Below are 22,836 nucleotides of genomic sequence, written 5' to 3'. Positions count from 1 at the left end.
CACAAAGGACTAGTGCTATTGACAAATGCAGGAGAGACAGGAATGCTGGAGTTACAAAACTAACAGGCATGGCCGGGCACAGTGGCTTACCCCTGTAATCCCAAAAAACTAACACGTGTGGCCGGGCACAGTGGCTTACCCCTGTAATCCCAAAAAACTAACAGGCGTCGTCCAGGTTTGAATTCTGACTTCTCTGTTTCTTACCCCCTCCACGCCTCAGTTTCCCCTTATTTAAAATAGGGATCGTAGCAGGGACCCGTTGGCGAGGAACACTTGTGGCCCCTTGTTGCGGAGTTGATGTGTTACTGGAGACGCTGCGACCTCCTCTTTTTTTTTTTTTTTTTTTTTTGAGACGAAGTCTCGCTCTGTCGCCCAGGCTGGAGTGCAGTGGCGCAATTCTCGGCTCACTGCAAGCTCTGCCTCCCGGGTTCACGCCATTCTCCTGCCTCAGCCTCCCGAGTGGCTGGGACTCAGGCGCCCGCCACCACGCCCGGCTAAGTTTTTGTATTTTTAGTAGAGACGGGGTTTCACCACATTAGCCAGGATGGTCTCGATCTCCTGATCCCGTGATCCGCCTGCCTCGGCCTCCCAAAATCCTGGGATTACAGGCGTGAGCCACCGCAGCCAGCCACGATCTCCTCCTTTCTAGTGGACATCTCGAGGTCTGCAAACTAAGGCCATGAGAGCTGCCCGCCTCCCTGCAGAGTCGTGCTATTACAAGGCCCTTCTTCCCTGCTGACCACAAGGCAGCTATCAGAGGCTGTCTTAGGAGGACTTCACGTAAAAAGAAGCCCCTAAGCTTGATAGGCTGAGAAACCTAGGTACGCCATGGCCACCTTACTTATGCGTGGTGGTACTTCTCTGTTTCTTTGAATGCAGGTGTTCAATTAATTACAAAAAAGATGAAACTTAAAATTCTGACTTGGCCGAGTGTGGTGGCTCACGCCTGTAATCCCAGCATTTTGGGAGGCCAAGGCACCCAGATCACGAGGTCAGGAGTTCGAGACCAGCCTGACCAACATGGTGAAACTCCGTTTCTACTAAAAATACAAAAATTAGCCAGGCATGGTGGCACATGCCTGTAATCCCAGCTACTCGGGATGCTGACGCAGGAGTATCGCTTGAACCCAGGAGGCAGAGGTTGCGGTAAGCCGAGATTATGCCACTGCACTCCAGCTTGGGTGACAGAACAAGACTCTGTCTCAAAAACAAAAACAAAACAAAAAACAAAAAAATTGAGCAAATAAGAAAATCCACTGAGGACAAAGGAGCCAGGTTTCTCACTGCTGGAGAAGGTATTCACAATCATGAAAGGTAGAAAGCTAGAAAGAGCCCGGAGGTGTTGGGCTGAAACTGAAGGCATGGTTATGGATTTGGTTTTTGGAAAAACACATGTATGCAACATAGACATAGCTACAGACGTGTGTATATACACAGGCACATACATCTTACATTCCTAGCCTATGTCCACCGAGAGAGCCCAGAAGCAATGAGCGCACTGCTCACCCAAATCCTGCTGTTTTTTAAATTATTATCCTTTTTGAGACGGTGTCTCGCGCTGTCACCCAAGCTGTAGTGCAGTGGTGCAATCTTGGCTCACTGCAACCTCGGCCTCCTGGGTTCAAGAGATTCTGGTGCTTCAGCCTCCTGAGTAACTGGGATTACAGGCACGTGCCAACACACCCAGCTAATTTTTTATTTGTAGTAGAGACGGGGAAGGGTTTCACCATGTTAGCCAGGCTGGTCTCAGACTCTTGGCCTCCAGCGATCCGCCCACTTCGGCCTCCCCAAGTGCTGGGATTACAAGCATGAGCCACAGTGCTCAGCCCAAATCCTGGCTTCTAAATGCCACCTTCCATAAAGGAACCAACGTCCCTAGGGAGATGGCTGACTGCAGGGTTGGAGCAGGGAGAGAACAAATGACCCTGGAATATCTGAGGCCAGGAGGTAAGGAAAAGTGCAGAGAAGGACGGGGACACGTCAGCACTCGGGAGCCAGCGTGAAGGGGCGCTCACTCACCAACTCTGGGATGTGAACATCAAAATAAATCATGACTGCAATAGAATACTTCCCAGTGAATGAGACAGAACTCTGCATCCATATGGTGGTGACTATAAACTAACAAATAAATGAGTAAGAAAATAAAATCTCTCCTTTACAGTAGAATGCCAACTAAAGGTGTAGAAGAAACTATGGAAATTATTTTAAAAAGCACCACTGGGCAACAATCAGAGGGCTTCAGGTAGAAGTCACCGATGGAGGTTAAGGTGGGTCTGCAGAAGTTTCATGAATAAGACAATGGTTGTGATGGTGAACTGAAGGGTGGCTAGATGGCTGGTATTGTTTCTGGTGTGATGGTGCTCCCAGAGAGACTGAAATTTGAGTCAGTGGACTAGGAGAGGAAGATCCACCCTCAGTGGGGGTGGGCACCCTCCAACCGGCTGCCAGCGCGGCTAGAACAAGGCAGGCAGAAGAAAGTAGGTAAGCTAGCTTGCTGAGTCTTCTGGCTTTCGTCTTTACCCCATGCTGGATGCTTCTGTCCATTCCTCCTGCCCTTGGACATCACACTCCAGGTTCTTTGGCCTTCCGGCTCTGGGACTAACACCAGTAGCTTTCCGGGGTCTCTGGGCATTTGGCCACAGACTGAAGCCTGAACTGTTGGATTCCGTTTGAGGCTGTTGGACTCCGGCTGAGCCACTGCTGGCTTCCTCGCTCCTCAGCTTGCAGATGGCCTGTCATGGGACTTTGCCTTGTGATGGTGTGAGCCAGTTCTTCATAAACTTTCTTTCATATGTACATATATCCTATTAGTTCTGTCCTTCTGCAGCACCTTGACTAAGACAATGCTGTAATCTCAGAATGTCTTCCTGGAAAATACGAATCAACTGACAAATGAAAACACGGTGTCTTCATTCTGGCAAAACCCAGCAGACACCAATACCACCAGGGAATTGAGATAAACATAACCCAGGTAGAACTGGCTGGAAGCCTGTGCCCTGACATGAGGACTCAGGACACGGCACCTTCTCTGCAGTCCCGCCAAGAATATAAGATCCATCCTAGGTGTATGAGAAGTCTTTGCCCTTTAATAAGGATGGGCGTCTGCAAAGACACATTCCAGTTTGGGGAAAGCTGAAACTGTGATAGTGGATGAGATCCTGGAGCGGAAAGGAAAAGAGACATTGTTGATACTGTCTGTAAAATCTGCAGGAGGCTGAGGCAGGAGCATCGCTTGAACCCAGGAGGCAGAAGTTGCAGTGAGCCAAGATCGCACCACTGTACTCCAGCCTGGGCGACTGAGCGAGACTCCGTCTCAACAACAAAAAAAAACTGAATGGGGTCTGAGAATCAGAACTTAGTATTGTTTCTTTTCTTTTTTTGAGACAGAGCTTCACTCTGTCAACCAGGCTGGAGTGTAGTGGCACAATCTAGGCTCACTGCAACTTCCACCTCCCAGGTTCAAGCGATTCTTCTGCCTTAACATCCTGAGCAGCTGGAATTACAGGTGCGCCGCGCCCCCCACCACACCTGGCCAATTTTTTTGTTTTGTTTTGTTTTGAGATGGAGTCTCACTGTTGCCCAAGCTGGAGTGCAGTGGGGCGATCTCAGCTCACTGCAACCTCCACCCCCGAGATTCTCCTGCCGCAGCCTCCCGAGTAGCTGGGATTACAGGTGTGCACCACCATGCCCGGCTAATGTCTGTATTTTTACTAGAGAAGGAGTTTCACCATACTGGTCAGGCTGGTCTCAAACTCCTGACCTCAGGTGATCCACCCGCCTTGGCCTCCCCAAGTGCTGGAATTACATGCGTGAGCCACCGTACCTGGCCACACGTAGTTTCTTGATTGCAAGAAGGCTGTCATGTGCCTAAGGGAGAAAAAGACGTGCTGATCAACTTCAGTCAGGCATGAGTGACAGAGGTACTGGCCATGAATTCCATGTTAATGAATCAACTAGACATTATTAAATAAGGAACCTTGAGAGAGAGACATGTACAACAAGGTTAACGATGAACTGCTTAACAAAAATGCTGTGGCCAGCGGCTCGGAGGAACCTGACTCTGTATTTCCCCGGGAGCCAGTGCCTATGGGTGTTACTCACCAACACTCACGATAATTAGATGATTCCAGGTTTCCTGCGACTTTGCAGAACTATCACTGAGCAACGCAAGGTGAAACATAAGCAGGGCCACTCACGTTTGCTTTTTTCACAAGGTCAGACTTTTATTGATACTTAATCAGAAAAGCCGCAACTACACAGGTTTCCCAAGGTGGCAATTCCCCTTAGCACAGCCCGTTCACTCGGTGGCCACAGCCCCGGGCATTCAGGCTCAGACCACTCCACAGGTGAGTCAACACTGCAAACCAAAGATAGTAGTAAACTTAATACATAAATGTTACAGATTATGGATTAAAATGTCCACTTACATCAAGAGAAAAGGGGGGCAGGCCGGGCACAGTGCCTCACGCCTGTAATCCCAGCACTTGGGGAGGCCAAGGCGGATGGATCACCTGACCAGCCTGGCTAACATGATGAAACCCCATCTCTTCCTAAAATACAAAACAATTAGCTGTGCGTGGTGGTGTGTACCTGTAATCCTACTTGGGAGGCTGAGGTGGGAGAATCACTTGAACCTGCAAGGCGGAGGTTGCAATGAGCCGAGACCGAGTCATTGCACTCCAGCCTGGGCAACAAGAATGAAACTCTGTCTCAGAAAAAAAAAAAAAAAGAAAAAGAAAAAAAAAGAAAATGTGGGTAAAACAGGGTTAACGAACCAGTCCAAGGAGAGCGATGTGGCCAAGGAGGAGGTCCTGCACTGATCCAGACATCTTGAAAGGTGGGAGTCCGGGCCTGGGCAGAGCCTTCAAGGGGAGATGTTGTGTGATTGGGAGGGACAGCAAGATGGAGCCAGTCACCACCGCCGTGCAGCTGGTGAGGTCCTGCTCTTTTCACAGCCCTTGAGTTCTCTGGTGAAAACCGAGAGTAAAGACTGTACAATAAGCCGGGCACAGTGGCTCATGTTCTGTAATCCCAGCGCTTTGGGAAGCTGAGGCAGAGGGATCACCTGAGGTCAGGAGTTCAAGACCAGCCTGGGCTACATAGCAAAACCCCGTATCTACAAAAAATACAAAAATTAGCCAGGCATGATGGCGCATGCCTGTAGCTCCCGCTACTCAGGAGCCTGAGGAAGAAGGATGGCTTGAGCCTGGGAGGTGGAGGCTGCAGTGAGCTGTGATCATCCCAGTGCCCTTCAGCCTGAGCCACAGAGGAAGACACTGTCTAAAGAAAAACAACAAGCTGGGCGCAGTGGCTCACGCCTGTAATGCCAGTACTTTGGGAGGCCGAGGCAGGCAGATCACCTGAGGTTGGGAGTTTGAGACCAGCCTGACCAATATGGAGAAACCCCCGTCTCTACTAAAAATACAAAATTAGCCGGGCCTGGTGGTGCATGCCTGTAATCCCAGCTACTTGGGAGACTGAGGCAGGAGAATCGCTTGAACCCAGGAGGTGGTGGTTCCGGTGAGCCGAGATCACACCACTGCACTCCAGCCTGGGCAACAAGAGTGAAACTCCATCTCAAAACAACAAACAAAAAACAAAACAAGAAAAAGCATGCCTGGTTGTGTCTGTCCTTACCTGATTGGGCATGGTCTCTATTGATTAGGCGACCATCTGGTCTGGTTGGCACGACGCTTTTTGGGTTTGAGGAAGGGTCTGCTCTGCTGCCCAGGCTCTAGTGCAGGGCGCATTCACAGCTGACTTATGCCTCCACCTCCCAAGAGGCTGGGACTGCAGGTGCATGCCACCATGCTGCGTTCATTTCTTATTTTTGTAGAGACAGGGTTTCGTCATGTTCACCAGGCTGGTCTTGAACTCCTGTCAGGCCTCTGAGCCCAAGCTAAGCCATCATATCCCCAGTGACCTGCATGTATACATCCAGATGGCCTGAAGCAACTGAAGATCCACAAAAGAAGTGAAAACAGCCTTAACTGATGACATTCCACCCTTGTAATTTGTTTCTGCCCCATCCTAACTGATCAATGTACTTTGTAATCTCCTCTACCCTTAAGAAGGTTCTTTGTAATTCTCCCCACCCTTGAGAATGTACCTTATGAGATCCACCACCTGCCTGCAAAACATTGCTCCTAACTCCACCGTCTATCCCAAAACCTGTAAGAACTAATGATAATCCCATCGCCCTTTGCTGACTCTCTTTTCCGACTCAGCCGGGCTGCACCCGGGTGAAATAAACAGCCTTGTTGCTCACACAAAGCCTGTTTGGTGGTCTCTTCACACAGACATGTGAGACACTAACCTCAGGCCATCCTCCCACCTCGGCCTCCCAAAGTGCCGGGATTACAGGCCTGAGCCACCGTGCACCGTCCGGCTAATATTTTATTTCTGCAGAGATGGGGTCTCGCTATGTTGCCCAGGCTGGTCTCCATGTCCTGGGCCCACGCCCTCCTCCTGCCCAGCTGGGCGGGGTCTTACCCAGGCGGAGCCCCTTACGTGCAGGGCGTTCTGTGCAGTGACCGCGGCCCTGGGCAGAGCCAACCCCACGCGGCCACATAACCGTCCAGGGGGCGGGGGGCAGCGCGGTGAAATGGAAAAGGATTTAACTGGGGGATCTAGGTGCTGGGGACACTGACATTTTCGGTATTATTCTTGAAGCTTTTCCCTAAGTTTGAAATTACCTAAAAACACGTTGTTTTGAGATGGAGGCCTCCTGGGGCCCGCAGGATGCGCGGCCGCGGGCGGGTGCCCGGGGCGGGAGGCGCCGGATGGGTCGCTAGGCCTCCTCCCTCAGGCCGGCCTCGCGCTCCTACCCCGCAGGACCCCGGCCGCAGCCCTGAGTCAGCTTCCCCGCTCCTCGCCCGCCCGGCTGCGCCTGCGCGGAGCCGCCTCACTGTGACCCAGCAAGCGCGCCGCCTGCGAGAAGCGACCGGACACTTCGAGAAGGGAAGTGGAGAAGCGAGGAGTGGGCGGGCCTGCGGGGCGCGGCGGGGCGGGATTGGCCGGATGGCTGGTGTCGTCTTCGGTGTGCGCCGGCGCCACTGGGCCGCGGCCTGGCGGGATTGGCCGGTCTGCGGGTGACGTTGTCGGGGCGCGCCCGGAAACCCCAAGGCCCAGACGGCTCTCAGATCCGGGGGCTGCGGATAAATCCCCGTAGGCCGCGGGCAGCGAGATGTTGCGTTCCGGTGTGGGTGTGGGTGTGCCTCCGACGGCGTCTCGGTGCCAGTGTCGAGGTTCTTTCTGCTTAGCTACCCGGAGCCGACTACGGAGGAGGACACCTGAGTTTACGTCTCTTCCATCTGCTGCTCACCTCAGCTGCCTGGGTCCCCGACGAGAGCCAGGTACGGGGCCGGGATTGCGCAGACAGGGTCTGCCGGGGGTCGGGCCTGCCTTGAGGTCAGGTTGCTCGGGGGTTCGGCCTGTCTGCTAGGAGTGCGGCTGCTGAAAGTCCGGCTGCTTGCTGGAGGTCAGGCTGCTGGGGGTCCGGCCTGTCTGCTGGGGACCGGGCCTGCCGGGGTCTGGCTGCTGGGGGTCCGGCCTGTCTGCTGGGGACCGGGCCTGCCGGGGTCTGGCTGTTGGGGGTCCGGCTGTCTGCTGGGGACCGGGCCTGCCGGGGTCTGGCTGCTGGGGGTCCGGCCTGTCTGCTGGGGACCGGGCCTGCCGGGGTCTGGCTGCTGGGGGTCCGGCCTGTCTGCTGGGGACCGGGCCTGCCGGGGTCTGGCTGTTGGGGGTCCGGCCTGTCTGCTGGGGACCGGGCCTGCCGGGGTCTGGCTGTTGGGGGTCCGGCTGTCTGCTGGGGACCGGGCCTGCCGGGGTCTGGCTGCTGGGGGTCCGGCCTGTCTGCTGGGAGTCCGGCTGTCTGCTGGGGGCCGGGCCTGCCATCGGGGCCGTAGTACCGGGTCGCACGGGGTCGTTAACCCGCCAGCCGAGTGACAGCCACGTAGATGTGTGTTTTCTTGCTGCGGGCCCGGCCCGCCAGGGTAGGGTGTTGGTTTCCTAGGACGGGTGCTGTGCGTCCAGAACAAAATCATTTGGGGATTCACATCAAACTCTTGTGAATTCCTTGAACAAAACAATTTCGGAACGCCTGCTGTGTGTCGGGCACCGGGAGCTAATAGTAAAGCAGCGGATCTGTAGTTGGAAGCTGTGGGCGAAGGAGGGCTGGGAAAGGACTAATGGGCACCTTAAGTAGCGGGCGTGTAACATAGAGGGAACTGGGGAGGGTGGGAATGGCTTTAAACTGAGGCGGGAGGGGATAACTAGACGTTTGCCATGGGCGAGAGTGTTCCAGTCTTAGGCGACAGTCTAGGAGGCCTCCAGGAGTGGGGAGAGAGCTGATGGGAAGGTCAGGAAAAGGCCCCGGGAGGGGCTGGTGAGTACTAGATGACGGGACCTCGTGAGCCCCAGGAAAAGGCCCCGGGAGGGCTGGTGGGTACTAGATCATGGAGGGGACCTCGTGAGCCCCTTGATTCTCTCTCGAGTGCGGTAGTTTCACCAGCTGTCTGCCTGTTTTCCATAGTGACTTAACAGCTTGCGCTTCTCCCTGATCAACTCCAGGTTGATGTCATCGAGGAATAAGTTCACAGTAAGATTCAATGCCTAAGGGAGTTGAAGAGAGAGGCGAGGGACAGAGTTAAATCTTCTCTGGATAATGGAGTCAACTGATGTGATTTAGCACCTAGTAACAGAGTTTTGTTTATGTGAACAAGTATATTCCATGGATAAAATTGTGACTTAAAATTCACCAAAGTCGTAATCATCACTGGCAGCTGTGTGAATTAGCTCTCGCCCCCTCAGTGTGAGTTTAAATAGAAACCCGAGTTCAAGGAGTGCTTCATAGACTAGGAATTAAAAGGCCTGTGAAGGAGTCCGTGTCTCTTAATGGGGTTGACTACGAATGGCGGACACCTGGTATTTGTACTAAAACTCCATGGAATGCTCCCCACACAGTGCGTTTGTTGACTTTCATTAGCTGTAATTACATTGTAAATCCTGGTGACTGAAGGGCAGTCCAGCTTTCCTCCTAACTATTCTGATTCTCTTGTAGGTGACACTTAACTCCGCCATCTGCGTTTTGAGCACTGTTCTCATAATGGAGTTTCCTGATTTGGGGAAGCATTGTTCAGAAAAGACTTGCAAGCAGCTAGGTGAGTACTTTTAAGAGACTTAATAGAAAATGGTATTTTGTTGGGGGAAAGCTGGCTGTTCTGTTAATTAGCTGATAATTGTGTCTTGGCCTTCCTGGCTCCTCAGTATTGGGAACTGTGCTGGTGCAGGTTCTGTTTGACACTTAGCATCCACCAGAGGCTGGGTGCAGGAGTGCAGGCTGGCTAGCAGGGCCAGGTGGATCCAGGGGGCTGCTGGAATACTTGCGATGCCATAGGGGGTCTCTAGAAGACAGCCTGACCCTGGGATTGTTTTCACATGTGTGGCCCTCGAGGACCTGTCCATCTCATAGGCCTAAAACACTTAGTGTAGGTAAACACTTTGATAGTACTATCTGGAAGTATTTTGTTCCAGTCGTTAAAACACTTCCCTGTTTTTTGTTTTTTAGATTTTCTTCCAGTAAAATGTGATGCATGTAAACAAGATTTCTGTAAAGATCATTTTCCATACGCTGCACATAAGTGTCCGTTTGCATTCCAGAAGGTAATTGATCCTTTGTTCAAAAGATTCTCATCTTCACCGTCTGAAGCTGCACTGTCTTGCTGGTATGGTAGGGACTAGCGACGTATGGCTAACTCATTGAAAATTAAATTTTAAAATCCAGTTTTTCAGTCCCACTAGCCTCGTTTCAGGTGCCTGCTGTTAGGCAGTACAGAGGAGCGTGTCTGCCCTCACAGGACATTCTGTTGGATGACTCTCAGACAACTGAGATCTTATTTTCAGGGACTCATGGAGTCACTTAGTTGTAACCTTATGTTCCAAGCTTACTTTAGATGTTCAAATACTTGGTTCCTTTGATCTGTTACACCATAGCTGTTACACCATAGCTGTGTCTTCACCAGATGCAAGAAAGATTTTAATATTTGACTTGGAAGCCAATCAGGAAGGCAGTAAATACGCTTATTGATTTGAATAACTGCAGCCTTGACATAGTATTTAGGTGACTCCCAGAGTACACAGCAGAAACTGAAAGAGGACCTAAGGAAATGAGCTTGCCCCGAGTCCAGAGGTTTGAGACTTGTTGTTGACTTTTCAGATGGTTCCCAGCCCGTGTTTACTTTGTCTCTGGATGGGTCACAGGTCATTTTAGTGAACTCTGCCACTTGACCGTGGTGGCAGTGGTAATGTGGGTGGCCCAGCATTCTGTGCTTTGACCAGTGTTGGCCAGGGTCTGACCCTCCAGCCATTTTTAGGCCATCACGGTGGGTGGGGAGGGTGACTCACATTCCCTGCGTTTACTAGGCACGGATGACTAAGCCAGACTGCCCAGCTTGTCTTCCCACTGCCCCTTCCTGCCCCAGCATGGGGTGGGGTCTGGCTGGAGACCGTTTACTAATACTTTATTTCATTTGACCAAATGAGGAAGCACCACCACCTGTGACTCTCCCAGCTCGGGCTGTAGACGGGTGTGCTCATAATTCCGTGAGCACCTGCCACCCGTTCCATGTCGGTTGCCACCTCGGTTTTCTCATTGACCTTTCCATCAATTCCTGCCCTGGCTCAGGTTTTTAGCCATGCTGGGCGTTAGCTGCTGGGCGGTCCACCCCTTCGGAGCCCCCAGCTCAGGTTTTTAGCCTTGCTGGGCCTTCAGCTGCTGGGCGGTCCACCCCTTCGGAGCCCCCAGCTCAGGTTTTTAGCCTTGCTGGGCCTTCAGCTGCTGGGCGGTCCACCCCTTCGGAGCCCCCAGCTCAGGTTTTTAGCCTTGCTGGGCCTTCAGCTGCTGGGCGGTCCACCCCTTCGGAGCCCCCAGCTCAGGTTTTTAGCCTTGCTGGGCCTTCAGCTGCTGGGCGGTCCACCCCTTCGGAGCCCCCAGCTCAGGTTTTTAGCCTTGCTGGGCCTTCAGCTGCTGGGCGGTCCACCCCTTCGGAGCCCCCAGCTCAGGTTTTTAGCCTTGCTGGGCCTTCAGCTGCTGGGCGGTCCACCCCTTCGGAGCCCCCAGCTCAGGTTTTTAGCCTTGCTGGGCCTTCAGCTGCTGGGCAGTCCACCCCTTCGGAGCCCCCAGCTCAGGTTTTTAGCCTTGCTGGGCGGTCCACCCCTTTGGAGCCCTCACAACCTTGGCCTGCAGCCAGTGACGGTCGTTAGTACCTGGGAGCTCACCCTAGGTACACGTGGCCTCATCTGGGCGCAAGCAACTCTCTGTGTACGTAGAAGCCACTGGGGAAACCGCAAAGGGATCAGGCCGTTGGCGACTGAGGGGAGCTGGAGGGTCTTTGTGGTCCATGTTTCCCTCCATCTCCTCCCTGTGGAGGTGTCTGGGCAGGCTCTGTTCTCACCTGGGCGGTGCCAGCCTGAGATGGCCCCAGCTGGTTTCTGCAGTCGGCTGAAGTCCATTCGTTGAAACTTCACTAGACTCCTCAGGGCAGCTGATGCCCACATTCTAGAGATGGCTGCCGCTAATCCATGACCCAGTGATGCTTTGTTCTCGGAGGGCTCGGGAGACCGGTTTTTGTCCTCTCTTTGTGTTTAAGTGTGCCGCACAGGAGTACTCGTTTAAAACTTCTGTGAGTTTAAGTTGCATGAGTCTCAGATGCCATCTTACCTTTGTTATTTTTAGGATGTTCACGTCCCAGTATGCCCACTCTGTAATACCCCCATCCCAGTAAAAAAGGGCCAGATACCAGACGTGGTGGTTGGTGATCACATTGACAGAGACTGTGACTCTCACCCTGGGAAGAAGAAAGAGAAGGTAAGGACAGAGCCCGCCTCAGTTCCTTCATCTGGGAAGCCTGGTTTTTCCTTGGGAAGAGTCAGTTTGCTACCTGAAAATTACTCCCAATAGTTTATGTACAAAGTAGAAAAGAAGAGTCCTAACGCTGCGTTATCCCTGTCCTAAACTGCGAGGGGCCTGAGTTTTCAGTTTTATAAATGTTCTTTAATATGAGGGATCCCAGGTCAGGTTCGTCTTTCTTGACTGGAATTTACTAGTTTCCCTCCTGAGATGGAGAATTCACATGGCTTTCTAGATCCATTCTGTTCATGTGCGTTTCATTTGTTTGTTTGTTTGTTTGTTTGTTTTGAGACAGTCTTGCTCTGTCACCCAGGCTGGAGTGCCATGGTGAATGGTGCCGTCTCGGCTCATTGCAACCTCTGCCTCCCGGGTTAAAGCGATTCTCCTGTCTCAGCCTCCCGAGTAGCTGGGACTACAGGCGCATGCCACCACATCCAGCTAACTTTTGTATTTTTAGTAGAGACAGGGTTTCACTATGTTGGCCGGGCTGGTCTTGAACTCCTCACCTTATGATCTGCCCGCCTCAGCCTCCCAAAGTGCTGAGATTATAGGTGTGAGCCACCACGCCCAGCTCAAGGAGCTTCTCTAGTGAACTGGCTGCTGTCAGGCTTAATCCGTTCCTAGTCATGGGTCCTGGTTGGTGGTTACCAACTATCTTAGTATATGATGTTCAATACTTTACAGTTATATTACCATAAACCAAATAACTTTTGGTCTCAAACATAGAGAATAAAATCAGTGTTCCTTAGTCTGCCACACAAAATTCTCTGTGCGGAAGCTTGCTCTGGTCCCCACTTTCTGGCCCTGTCTAGCTCTCCCTGCTGTGGCTGTGCCCTGGGACCCTCAGCCTCTGGAGGTCTCTTAAGCCTCTGAGACATCACAGCTCTCTGGCACACCCGCTTCTTCCACATGACACAGCTTCCCTTGCTGGGGGCTCACCCAGCACTGCCCCAAGGCCCCCACACAGGAATGCCCTCCCGGCTGCTCCTGGCCCGCTGTGCTCCTGTCCTTTTGGTGGGCACGCCCTGTGTTCTGCCTGCATCCCTGCACGGGTCCCTCCTGCATGGTCGCTCAGCATGGCCATGCCTGCCTGCCTTGGCCGGAGGGCCACCCCCGGCTGCTGGAACCCTCCCCACTCTCCTCACTGCCTTCCCCTCTTGGAGTTCTGACTCCTAGGACTTTATATCGCTGCCTACATCCTGGCACCAAAAAAAAAAAAAAAAAAAATGACCGGTGGGTACTGGGACATGATAGATATTCCCTTGATGGGGACAACCTCCACTGTCCCAGGGCTCCTGGAGCCAGTGCCTCTGTGGGGCTTGCCTGTCATCTGTGCTTGGCCTCCTTCCCTCCCGCTCCCTGCTTCCTGGCTGCCTCTCTCTGTTGTCCTCCCAGCAGCACCTCCGGGCCATCTTCACGGGAATCCCCAGCTTCAATGCTGACCGGCTTTTTTTTTTCTTTCTTTTTAAAGGGACGAACTCTTGCTCTGTCGCCCAGGCTGGAGTGCAGTGGCACAATCTCAGCTCACTGCCGCCTCTGCCTCCTCTAGCAATTCTCCTGCCTCAGCCTCCCAAGTAGCTGGGATTACAGGCACCACGCCACCATGCCTGGCTAATCTTTTATATTTTAGTGGAGATGGGGTTTCACCATGTTGCCCAAGCTTGTCTCGAACTCCTGAGCTCAGGCAATCCACCCATCTTGGCTTCCCAAAGTGCTGGGATGACAGGCGTGAGCCACTGGGTCCAGCCCCATGTTCTTCTTACCTGCACTGAGATGGTCAAATGAAACTTTGCATCTGTACTCTGTGCAGACAGGAACTGTGTCCAGTTTAAATGGGAATGTTCTTACCGGAGGCTGTTAAAGAATTTAAGGCCAGCACAGTGGCTCACACAGGTAATCTTAGCACTTTGGGAGGCCAAGGCGGGAGGATCACCTGAGGCTGAGTTTGAGACCAGCCTGGGCAGCATGGCAAGACCCCATCTCTGTGAAAATAGACAAAATTAGCTGGACGTGGCGGTGTGTGCCTGTAGTACCAGGTACTAGGCTGAAGCAGGAGAATCACTTGAGTCCAGGAGGCAGAGGTTGCAGTGAGCCAAGATCAAGCCACTGCACTCCAGCCTGGGCAACAGAGCGAGACCCTGTCTCCAAAAAAAGAATTGCTTGTTGAAGTCACTTTGCTCTCTTAGATTTTTACATACCGTTGCTCAAAAGAGGGCTGCAAGAAGAAAGAGATGCTGCAGATGGTATGTGCCCAATGTCACGGCAACTTCTGTATCCAGCACAGACACCCTTTGGACCACAGCTGCAGACACGGGAGTCGCCCCACCATCAAAGCTGGGTGAGAAGAGACTCCGCTGCGATGGCTCGGAGCACGCAGTAGCATGCGTGGAAGCAGCTTACACTCTAGTGGGAAGTGGAGCCCCATTGAGCACCATCCCACACTGGCTGCTGATCTTGTTTGTTGAGGGAGATGGGACTATAATAAAATTGAATGCTGAAGTTGATTCTAGTTGTTCTCATTGCCCACTGCTGCCGTCACCAAGTACTAAAAACTGGGTGGCTCAAACCATAGAAATCGGTTCTTTCACAGTTCTGGGGGCTGGAGGTCCAGGCGCAGGATGTCGGCAGGGCCAGCCCCTTCTGAGGGCTGCGGGGAGCATCGGCTGCGTCTCCCCAGCATCTCGGGGCTCGTCAATGCACAACCCCCGTCTCCACCTTCATCTTCACATGGCATTCTGTGTGTGTCCCGACTTCCCCTTTTTGTAAGGATGCTGGTCATGTGATCCCACAGTCGTGACCTCTGAAAAGACCCTGTGTCCACAGAAGGTCACACTCTGAGGTCCCGAGTCTAGGGCTCCAGCATGTCTTGTGGGGACATGATTCAACTCGTAATGCTAATGTTTGTCAAATCGAGAAGCATCTGTATTTGCCTCAACTGTTGCACCTGGTGGTGTCTGGCGTCCATCCCTGGGCCAGGCCAGTGGTAGTTGCTTACCTGCAGGAAGCTGTGTGGGTTCTTGCGGTCAGCACATGGAGGCTGAGCTGATCCATCCACCCTCTCTGTAGGTGCTCACCCATGACAGTCTCTGAATCCAGGCCGTTGGGAGATTTCCTCACCCTGGCTCCTGGCGGGCTGGCCCAGCGACTCGGGTACTGGTTCACCCGGCTCATGTGAACGCAATTTCGTCTGTGTGGGGTGCTGCAGCTCTTGGTTGGTGAACACGGAAAGGTTGCTGTGTGTAACTGCACAGTGTGACGCGATGCTCCAGTGGTGCGACTTCGTCAGGATGGATGAAGGACACAGGACTGGGACCCCAAGTTACAGAAGCAGCTCGCTCCAGCACAACCTTTCGGCAGCAGCAGCATCATACAGCTGGTTTCTGAAACACCTTTTCTGCCCTCCAAGATCCTCTGACATGATCAACATTCCTGCATCATCAAGACAAACCTGAAAAGAGCTGTTCTTTGTTCTTTTTGGTGGAAAGTGATGAGGTCCTTCCCGTTTGCACTGCCGTGTGGGTTATTTCCACTCTAGGTAACTTCCGCCTTCAGGTACTCCCCATACTTCTAATGGCCCAGCAGCACCTCCGGGCCATCTTCACGGGAATCCCCAGCTTCAATGCTGGCTGGCTTTGCTTTTTTTTTTTTAAAAGGGATGAAGTCTTGCTCTATTGCCCAGGCTGGAGTGCAGTGGCACAATCTCAGCTCACTGCCACCTCTGCCTTCCAGGTTCTAGCAATTCTCCTGCCTCAGCCTCCCGAGTAGCTGGGATTACAGGCACCAAACTGCCATGCCCGGCTAATCTTTTATATTTTAGTGAAGATGGTTAGCCTGAAACCTTGAAACTTCCCCACTGAAATACACAAACTAGGCCGGGCGTAGTGGCTCACACCTGTAATCTCAGCACTTTGGGAGGGCAAGGTGGGTGGATCACCTAAGGTCAGGAGTTCAAAACCAGCAAACACCAGACAGCTCACTTGCGCTCTTCACCATGTCACCTCTGTAACGATGTGACTATCTGGCCAAGAAGGGGGAAGGACATCCACCTGCCTGGCCGAGGGTTCTTGTCCAGCGGCGGCCACAGGTGCTACTCGCATTGTTTGAGGGCACAGCTGCGTGCCCGTTCCTGACCTCCAAGGGGCTGGGACACTGTGTGAGAGAAGGTGTGTCTTCCTGGACCACTTGTCCCTGCCACGGTCAACTTCTTAAAACAGGCACAGTTCAGCCAGGCGCAGTGGCTCACGCTTGTAATCTCAGCACTTTGGGAGGCGGAGGCAGGCGGATCACCTGAGGTCAGGAGTTTGAGACCAGCCTGGTCAACATGGTGAAACCCCATGTCTACTAAAACAAAAATTAGCCAGGTGTGGTGGTGGTACACGCTTGTAATCCTAGCTACTCAGGAGGCTGAGGCAGGAGAATCACTTGAACCTGGGAGGCGGAGGTTGCAGTGAGCCCAGATTGTGCCACTGCACTCCAGCCTGGGCAACAGAGCAAGACTGAATCTCAAAAAAAAAAAAAAAAAAGGCACAGTTGTCAGCAGCCAGCAAGCCCGAGAGCTGCTTTGCACCTGGATCTATTTCAGCACCAACAAGAAAGTTGCAAAATGCCACCTGTTGAAGATGGCTCTGTCCAGTGATGAAGCAGTGGAAACTTCCAGAAGTGACTTAAAACTACAATGGCAGGAACTAGGGCTTCCACAAGTGCCAGAGATTACAGGAGACTGGGTTTTATAGGTTTGAAGAGCAGAAAGCCAAAACGGGAGGGAAGGGGGGTAGTGAGGTGCACAGTCCTTTGTGGCTCAGATGACAGATGCGGCCTTCGTGGCCTGACACTTTCCACCACCGTCTGATTTTGTGAAGTGATGAACACGGGTAACGTAAATACTGGTGTTAGATTTATACTGACAGCCGCTCTGCTCATCAAGAGTGCAGTGATTTCCTGGGAACTTAGGGGGTGTCAGGGAATAAGGTGAAACAAAATTCCCCCAAGTTCTGTCCTGTTCTGAACTGCCCTGGCCATCCAGCTGTGCCCACCAGATGTCCCGCTGAGACAGTTCACAAAAACACAAGCCACTGCCTTTTTTTTTTCTGCTTTCACCATCTAAAAATGTAACGGGAAGGGTTTGTATTCTGTTGGCGTTCTGCAAAAAGGTGGTCAGACCTGCAGTCAGGGGAACGATGTTTCTGTCGATGACGGACCGTGTATATGTTGGTGATCGCAGAACATACTGTATTTTCACTATATCTTTTTTTTTTAATCTGACAAACTTTTTTGCTTTTATTTTAATTGACATAATTGTACATATTGATGGGGTACATTGTGGTATTTGGAGGAGTTTGAGACCAGCCTGGCCAACATGATGAAACCCTGTCCCTACTAAAAATACAAAAATTAGCCGGGCGTGGTGGTGCATGCCTGTAATCCCAGCTACTTGGGAGGCTGAGGCAAGAGGATCGCTTGAACCCGGGAGGCAGAGGTTGCAGTGAGCAGAGATCGTGCCATTGCACTCCAGCCTGGGTGATAGAGCAAGACTCCATCTCAAAAAAAAAAAAAAAAACTTAAGAACAAGCTAGTCACCCTGCAGTCCCACAGAACACTGGGATGGAATCCTCCCAGCAAGCTGGACCGCACCACGCCTAGGTTTGGAAGCACAAACACGCAGCGCCGTGCCGCAGTGGCCTACAGCATTCAGCGCAGTAGCACTCTGCACGCATTTGTAGCCTGGGAGCCACAGGCTATGCCCTACAGCCTGGGTGTGGAGGAGGCCGCACCATCGAGCTCTGTGTAAGTCCCTGTAGGATGCTTGCACGACAATGCAATCACCTGGCCGTGCACATCCCTGACGGTGGGTGACATGTGACCGTTGCTATGCTTATTTCATGGTGTCTGTCCTAGGCCGGCGGTTCCCAAGCCCTAGCCTGTGTCAAAACACAGGGCTCCTTACGGGAGGGTGCTGGACCCCACCCCGAGGCCCTGGTTCTGTGGTCTGAGGTGGACTCAGGTTTACACCTGGAGCTGCCCGGGTGACACGTCTGGTCTGGGACTGCACTTGGACAAGCCACTTCCCTGCGTCTGCAGCACCTCTGGCCTCGTGTGCTGTGGAGCAAGGAAAACGCAGCCAGCACAGTGTTCGGTGTGGTTAAGTTTAAAAACCACTAACTTGGTTCAGTCAGTGGAAAACAGGTACGTTAGGAACCTGGGTGTGTGAACTGTGAATCTGCAGATCAGGTGTTCTAATGAAAAAATGTTTTTAATTTTTAAAGTCTTGAGAAACAAAGTTCTGATAATTTAATGTCCAAACTGAGATGTATCCAGCCGGGCCCAGTGGCTTATGCCCGTAATCGCAGTACCTTGGGAGGCTGATGTGGGCGGATTGCTTGAGCCCAGATGTTTGAGATAGGACTGGGCAATGTAGTAAGACGTTGTCTCTCAAAAAAAATAAATAGCCAGACAGATGGTGCATGCATGTGGTCCCAGTTACTCAGGAGACGTCAAGGCTGCAGTGAGCTGTGATCACACCACTGCACTCCAGCCTGGGTCACAGAGAGCAAGACTGTCTCATTAAAAAAAAAAAAAAAAAAAAAAAACAAAACAAGGCCAGGCGCAATGGTTCACGCCTGTAATCCCAGCACTTTGGGAGGCTGAGGCGGGTGGATCACAAGGTCAGGGTTCGAGACCAGCGTGGCCAACATGGTGAACCCTGTCTGTACTAAAAATACAAAAATTAGCCAGGCATGGTGGCAGGTGCCTGTAATCCCAGCTACTCAGGAATCAGGAGAATCACTTGAACCCAGGAGGGAGAGGTTGCAGTGAGCCCAGATTGTGCTGTTGCACTCCAGCCTGGCCCACGGAGTGAGACTCTGTCTCAAAAAAAAAAAAGTATCCAAAACACACTGGGCTTTGAACATAATACCAAATTATCTATCTATCTATATCTCACTGTTAAAGGTATTGTTTACATGTTGCCTTTATTGTAGAGTGGGGTCCAGGCACCCACTGGGAGGCTTGGAACAGATCCCCAGAGGATAAACGGGGACTGCTGTATAATTTTTGTAGCACAGAGTTAGAAGTGTGTGTATATTTCTAGAAATGCAAATAAAACCAAGGCCTGAAGAGTAAAAAAATATTTACATGTTGAAATAATATTTTGAATATGCTAGGTTAATAAAACATTAAAATGAATTTCACTTGGGTTTTACTGTGACTGCTCAAAATTTTGAAACTGGGTGGTCAGCTCGGTGCTGTCCCTGTTAGATGGCGTTGTCTAGCTCTCCCACCAAAGGCCAAACAGCCCTGGCACATTTTCTCAGCGGGGAGAGGCGGCGCCTGGTTCATGCATTGCGTTTTCTGTCTTCGATTTGACGGAGTATTGAAGTATAAAACTTAAGAGTGCTCTCCCTCTCCCTCTCCCTCTCCCTCTCCCTCCCCCTCCCTCTCCCTCTCCCTCTCCCTCTCCCTCCACGGTCTCCCTCTGATGCCGAGCCAAGGCTGGACGGTACTGCTGCCATCTCGGCTCACTGCAACCTCCCTGCCTGATTCTCCTGCCTCAGCCTGCCGAGTGCCTGCGATTGCAGGCGCGCACCGCCACGCCTGACTGGTTTTCGTTTTTTTTTGGTGGAGACGGGGTTTCGCTGTGTTGGCCGGGCTGGTCTCCAGCTCCTAGCCGCGAGTGATCCGCCAGCCTCGGCCTCCCGAGGTGCCGGGATTGCAGATGGAGTCTCGTTCACTCAGTGCTCAATGGTGCCCAGGCTGGAGTGCAGTGGCGTGATCTCGGCTCGCTGCAACCACCTCCCAGCCGCCTGCCTTGGCCTCCCGGAGAGCCGAGATTGCAGCCTCTGCCCGGCCGCCACCCCGTCTGGGAAGTGAGGAGCGTCTCTGCTTGGCCACCCATCGTCTGGGATGTGAGGAGCCCCTCTGCCTGGCTGCCCAGTCTGGAAAGTGAGGAGCGTCTCTGCCTGGCCGCCATCCCATCTGGGAAGCGAGGAGCGCCTCTTCCCCGCCGCCATCCCATCTAGGAAGTGAGGAGCGTCTCTGCCCGGCCGCCCATCGTCTGAGATGTGGGGAGCACCTCTGCCCCGCCGCCCTGTCTGGGATGTGAGGAGCGCCTCTGCTGGGCCGCAGCCCTGTCTGGGAGGTGGGGAGCGTCTCTGCCCGGCCGCTCCGTCTGAGAAGTGAGGAAACCCTCTGCCTGGCAACCGCCCCGTCTGAGAAGTGAGGAGCCCCTCCGTCCGGCAACCACCCCGTCTGGGAAGTGAGGAGCGTCTCCGCCCAGCAGCCACCCCGTCCGGGAGGGAGGTGGGGGGGGTCAGCCCCCCGCCCGGCCAGCCGCCCCGTCCGGGAGGTGAGGGGCTCCTCTGCCCGGCCGCCCCTACTGGGAAGTGAGGAGCCCCTCTGCCTGGCCAGCCGCCCCATCCGGGAGGGAGGCGGGGGGGGGGGTCGGCCAGCCGCCCCGTCCGGGAGGGAGGTGGGGGGGTCAGCCCCCCGCCCGGCCAGCCGCCCCGTCCGGGAGGTGAGGGGCTCCTCTGCCCGGCCGCCCCTACTGGGAAGTGAGGAGCCCCTCTGCCCGGCCAGACGCCCCGTCCAGGAGGGAGGTGGGGGGGTCAGCCCCCCGCCCGGCCAGCCGCCCAGTCCGGGAGGGAGGTGGGGGGTCAGCCCCCCGCCCGGCCAGCCGCCCCGTCTGGGAGGGAGTTGGGGGGATCAGCCCCCCGCCTGGCCAGCCGCCCCATCCGGGAGGTGAGGGGCGCCTCTGCCCGGCCGCCCCTACTGGGAAGTGAGGAGCCCCTCTGCCCGGCCAGCCGCCCCGCCCGGGAGGGAGGTGGGGGGATCAGCCCCCCGCCTGGCCAGTCGCCCCGTCCGGGAGGTGAGGGGCCCTCTGCCCGGCCGCCCCTACTGGAAAGTGAGGAGCCCCTCTGCCCGGCCAGCCGCCCCGTCCGGGAGGGAGGCGGGGGGGGGGGGGTCGGCCAGCCGCCCTGTCCGGGAGGGAGGTGGGGGGGGTCAGCCCCCCGCCTGGCCAGCCGCCCCGTCCGGGAGGGAGGTGGGGGGATCAGCCCCCCGCCTGGCCAGTCGCCCCGTCCGGGAGGTGAGGGGCGCCTCTGCCCGGCCGCCCCTACTGGGAAGTGAGGACCCCTCTGCCCGGCCAGCCGCCCCGTCCGGGAGGGAGGTGGGGGGGACAGCCCCCCCGCCCAGCCAGCCGCCCTATCCAGGAGGTGAGGGGCGCCTCTGCCCGGCCGTCCCTACTGGGAAGTGAGGAGCCCCTCTGCCTGGCCAGCCGCCCCGTCCGGGAGGGTGGTGGGGGGGTCAGCCCCCCGCCCGGCCAGCCGCCCCATCCGGGAGGTGAGGGGCGCTTCTGCCCGGCCGCCCCTACTGGGAAGTGAGGAGCCCCTCTGCCCGGCCACGACCCCGTCTGGGAGGTGTGCCCAGCGGCTCATTGGGGATGGGCCATGATGACAATGGCGGTTTTGTGGAATAGAAAGGCGGGAAGGGTGGGGAAAAAATTGAGAAATCGGATGGTTGCCGGGTCTCTGTGGATAGAAGTAGACATGGGAGACTTTTCATTTTGTTCTGTACTAAGAAAAATTCTTCTGCCTTGGGATCCTGTTGATCTGTGACCTTATCCCCAACCCTGTGCTCTCTGAAACATGTGCTGTGTCCACTCAGGGTTAAATGGATTAAGGGCGGTGCAAGATGTGCTTTGTTAAACAGATGCTTGAAGGCAGCATGCTCGTTAAGAGTCATCACCACTCCCTAATCTTAAGTACCCAGGGACACAAACACTGCGGAAGGCCAAGGCCGCAGGGTCCTCTGCCTAGGAAAACCAGAGACCTTTGTTCACTTGTTTATCTGCTGACCTTCCCTCCACTATTGTCCTATGACCCTGCCAAATCCCCCTCTGCGAGAAACACCCAAGAATGATCAATAAAAAAAAAATAAATTAATTAAAAAAAAAAAAAAAAAAAAAAAAAAAAAAAAAAACTTAAGAGTGAGGCCAGGTGTGGTGGCTCAGGCCTGTAAGACCAAAACTTTGGGGGGGCCAAGGCGGGTGGATCACTTGAACCCAGAAGTTCAAGACCAGCCTGGGCCACGTGGCAAAACCCTGTCTCTACAAAAAATACAAAAATTAGCCAGGTGTGGTGGTGCGTGCCTGGAGTCCCACCAACTCGGGAGACAGAGGTGGGAGGATCGCTTGAGCCCAGGCCCTCAAGGCTGCAGTGAACCATGACTGTGCCACTGCACTCCAGTCTGGATGACAGAGCGAGACCCTTCTCAAAAAAAAAAAGTTGATGGAACCCAAAGCCTACCTGATGGAAATGAAGGTGTCCCCAGAGTGCCACTGAGAGCGGGCGAGTCGGCCGTGGCCCTGCCGGCTGGAGTGTCAGAGTCAACCGTGGAGGTCACTGGCCCTGCCTTTTTTTTTTCTGAGATGGAGTCTCACTCTGTTGCCCAGGCTGGAGTGCAGTGGCACGATCTCAGCTCACTGCAACCTCCGCCTCCTGAGTTCAAGCTATTCTCATGTCTCAGCCTCCCCCTCCCAAGTAGCTGGGATCACAGGCGCCCGCGATCGCGCCCGGCTAATTTTTGTATTTTTTAGTAGAGACGGGGTTTTGCCATGTTGGTCAGGTTGGTCTCGAACTGCTGACCTCAGGTGGTCCACCCGCCTCAGCCTCCCAAAGTGCTGGGATACAGGTGTGAGCGACTGCGCCCGGCCGAGGCTCTGCCTTTTCAAAAGCAGATTTGGACCTGGGCTGGTGCGGCCGCGGGAGCAGATGTTTGCAGATGCTGAACGTTTTCTCTGGCTGGGTTGGACAGGCTCACAGTCCCGCGCCTGGCATCTCGCGTCACCCCACCTGCCTACAGCAGGGGAAGCGCGTCTCGGGAAGTGTCCTCGCCCCCTGCCTCGGGGGCTCTCCTTTGCCTGAGTTGGGCTTTGG

The 22,836-nt window shown here is 54.1% G+C and overlaps 1 protein-coding gene and 1 long non-coding RNA gene across 10 annotated transcripts, besides 8 other annotated features; one reads left to right on the top strand and one right to left on the bottom strand.

The window, feature by feature from the left end:
- Window positions 1–1,360: 1,360 nt before the first annotated feature.
- ZFAND2A-DT (ZFAND2A divergent transcript) lies at window positions 1,361–6,945 on the bottom strand. Of its 6 annotated transcripts, NR_110070.1 has the most exons (5): window positions 6,493–6,534; window positions 4,776–4,967; window positions 4,428–4,550; window positions 3,824–3,867; window positions 1,361–3,158 (listed from the first exon to the last, which is right to left on the bottom strand). It is a non-coding gene; the product is annotated as a ZFAND2A divergent transcript (long non-coding RNA). The 6 variants fall into 6 exon arrangements; NR_110065.1 differs by lacking the exons at window positions 4,428–4,550; window positions 4,776–4,967; window positions 6,493–6,534 and adding exons at window positions 5,638–5,955; window positions 6,696–6,945; NR_110067.1 differs by lacking the exons at window positions 4,428–4,550; window positions 4,776–4,967; window positions 6,493–6,534 and adding exons at window positions 4,102–4,357; window positions 6,696–6,945.
- Window positions 5,967–6,479: an enhancer, noted in NCBI's record as "H3K27ac-H3K4me1 hESC enhancer chr7:1200476-1200988 (GRCh37/hg19 assembly coordinates)". NCBI's record gives its function as "activates a minimal SCP1, AML or CMV promoter by ChIP-STARR-seq in naive and primed H9 embryonic stem cells {active_cell/tissue: H9 hESC(naive and primed)}" and the evidence as "EXISTENCE:reporter gene assay evidence [ECO:0000049][PMID:30033119]".
- Window positions 6,480–6,993: an enhancer, noted in NCBI's record as "H3K27ac-H3K4me1 hESC enhancer chr7:1199962-1200475 (GRCh37/hg19 assembly coordinates)". NCBI's record gives its function as "activates a minimal SCP1, AML or CMV promoter by ChIP-STARR-seq in primed H9 embryonic stem cells {active_cell/tissue: H9 hESC(primed)}" and the evidence as "EXISTENCE:reporter gene assay evidence [ECO:0000049][PMID:30033119]".
- Window positions 6,480–7,506: a biological region, named in NCBI's record as "hESC enhancers GRCh37_chr7:1199449-1199961 and GRCh37_chr7:1199962-1200475".
- Window positions 6,585–6,634: a silencer, noted in NCBI's record as "silent region_17847". NCBI's record gives its function as "represses an Ori minimal core promoter by ATAC-STARR-seq in GM12878 lymphoblastoid cells {active_cell/tissue: GM12878}" and the evidence as "EXISTENCE:reporter gene assay evidence [ECO:0000049][PMID:35858748]".
- Window positions 6,645–7,184: a silencer, noted in NCBI's record as "silent region_17846". NCBI's record gives its function as "represses an Ori minimal core promoter by ATAC-STARR-seq in GM12878 lymphoblastoid cells {active_cell/tissue: GM12878}" and the evidence as "EXISTENCE:reporter gene assay evidence [ECO:0000049][PMID:35858748]".
- Window positions 6,994–7,506: an enhancer, noted in NCBI's record as "H3K27ac hESC enhancer chr7:1199449-1199961 (GRCh37/hg19 assembly coordinates)". NCBI's record gives its function as "activates a minimal SCP1, AML or CMV promoter by ChIP-STARR-seq in naive and primed H9 embryonic stem cells {active_cell/tissue: H9 hESC(naive and primed)}" and the evidence as "EXISTENCE:reporter gene assay evidence [ECO:0000049][PMID:30033119]".
- ZFAND2A (zinc finger AN1-type containing 2A) lies at window positions 7,123–18,469 on the top strand. Of its 4 annotated transcripts, NM_001365383.1 has the most exons (6): window positions 7,123–7,355; window positions 9,062–9,161; window positions 9,569–9,663; window positions 11,735–11,866; window positions 14,095–14,246; window positions 14,975–18,469. In NM_001365383.1, exons 2-6 carry the CDS (start codon window positions 9,107–9,109, stop codon window positions 15,081–15,083), a joined length of 543 nt encoding a protein of 180 aa, NP_001352312.1. In that variant the 5' UTR covers window positions 7,123–7,355; window positions 9,062–9,106; the 3' UTR covers window positions 15,084–18,469. The 4 variants fall into 4 exon arrangements, 3 of the variants coding, with proteins under 3 accessions (NP_001352312.1, NP_001352310.1, NP_872297.2); NR_158186.2 differs by lacking the exon at window positions 14,975–18,469 and having other exon boundaries at window positions 14,078–14,412; NM_001365381.2 differs by lacking the exon at window positions 14,975–18,469 and having other exon boundaries at window positions 14,188–14,412.
- Window positions 7,507–8,021: an enhancer, noted in NCBI's record as "H3K27ac hESC enhancer chr7:1198934-1199448 (GRCh37/hg19 assembly coordinates)". NCBI's record gives its function as "activates a minimal SCP1, AML or CMV promoter by ChIP-STARR-seq in primed H9 embryonic stem cells {active_cell/tissue: H9 hESC(primed)}" and the evidence as "EXISTENCE:reporter gene assay evidence [ECO:0000049][PMID:30033119]".
- Window positions 21,184–21,877: an enhancer, noted in NCBI's record as "NANOG-H3K27ac-H3K4me1 hESC enhancer chr7:1185078-1185771 (GRCh37/hg19 assembly coordinates)". NCBI's record gives its function as "activates a minimal SCP1, AML or CMV promoter by ChIP-STARR-seq in primed H9 embryonic stem cells {active_cell/tissue: H9 hESC(primed)}" and the evidence as "EXISTENCE:reporter gene assay evidence [ECO:0000049][PMID:30033119]".

Source organism: Homo sapiens, chromosome 7 (assembly GCF_000001405.40).
Source record: "Homo sapiens chromosome 7, GRCh38.p14 Primary Assembly".
Taxonomy (NCBI): Eukaryota; Metazoa; Chordata; class Mammalia; order Primates; family Hominidae; genus Homo; species Homo sapiens.
Note: the sequence above shows the minus strand (reverse complement) of the source record. Positions and strands in the feature narration are given on the sequence as shown.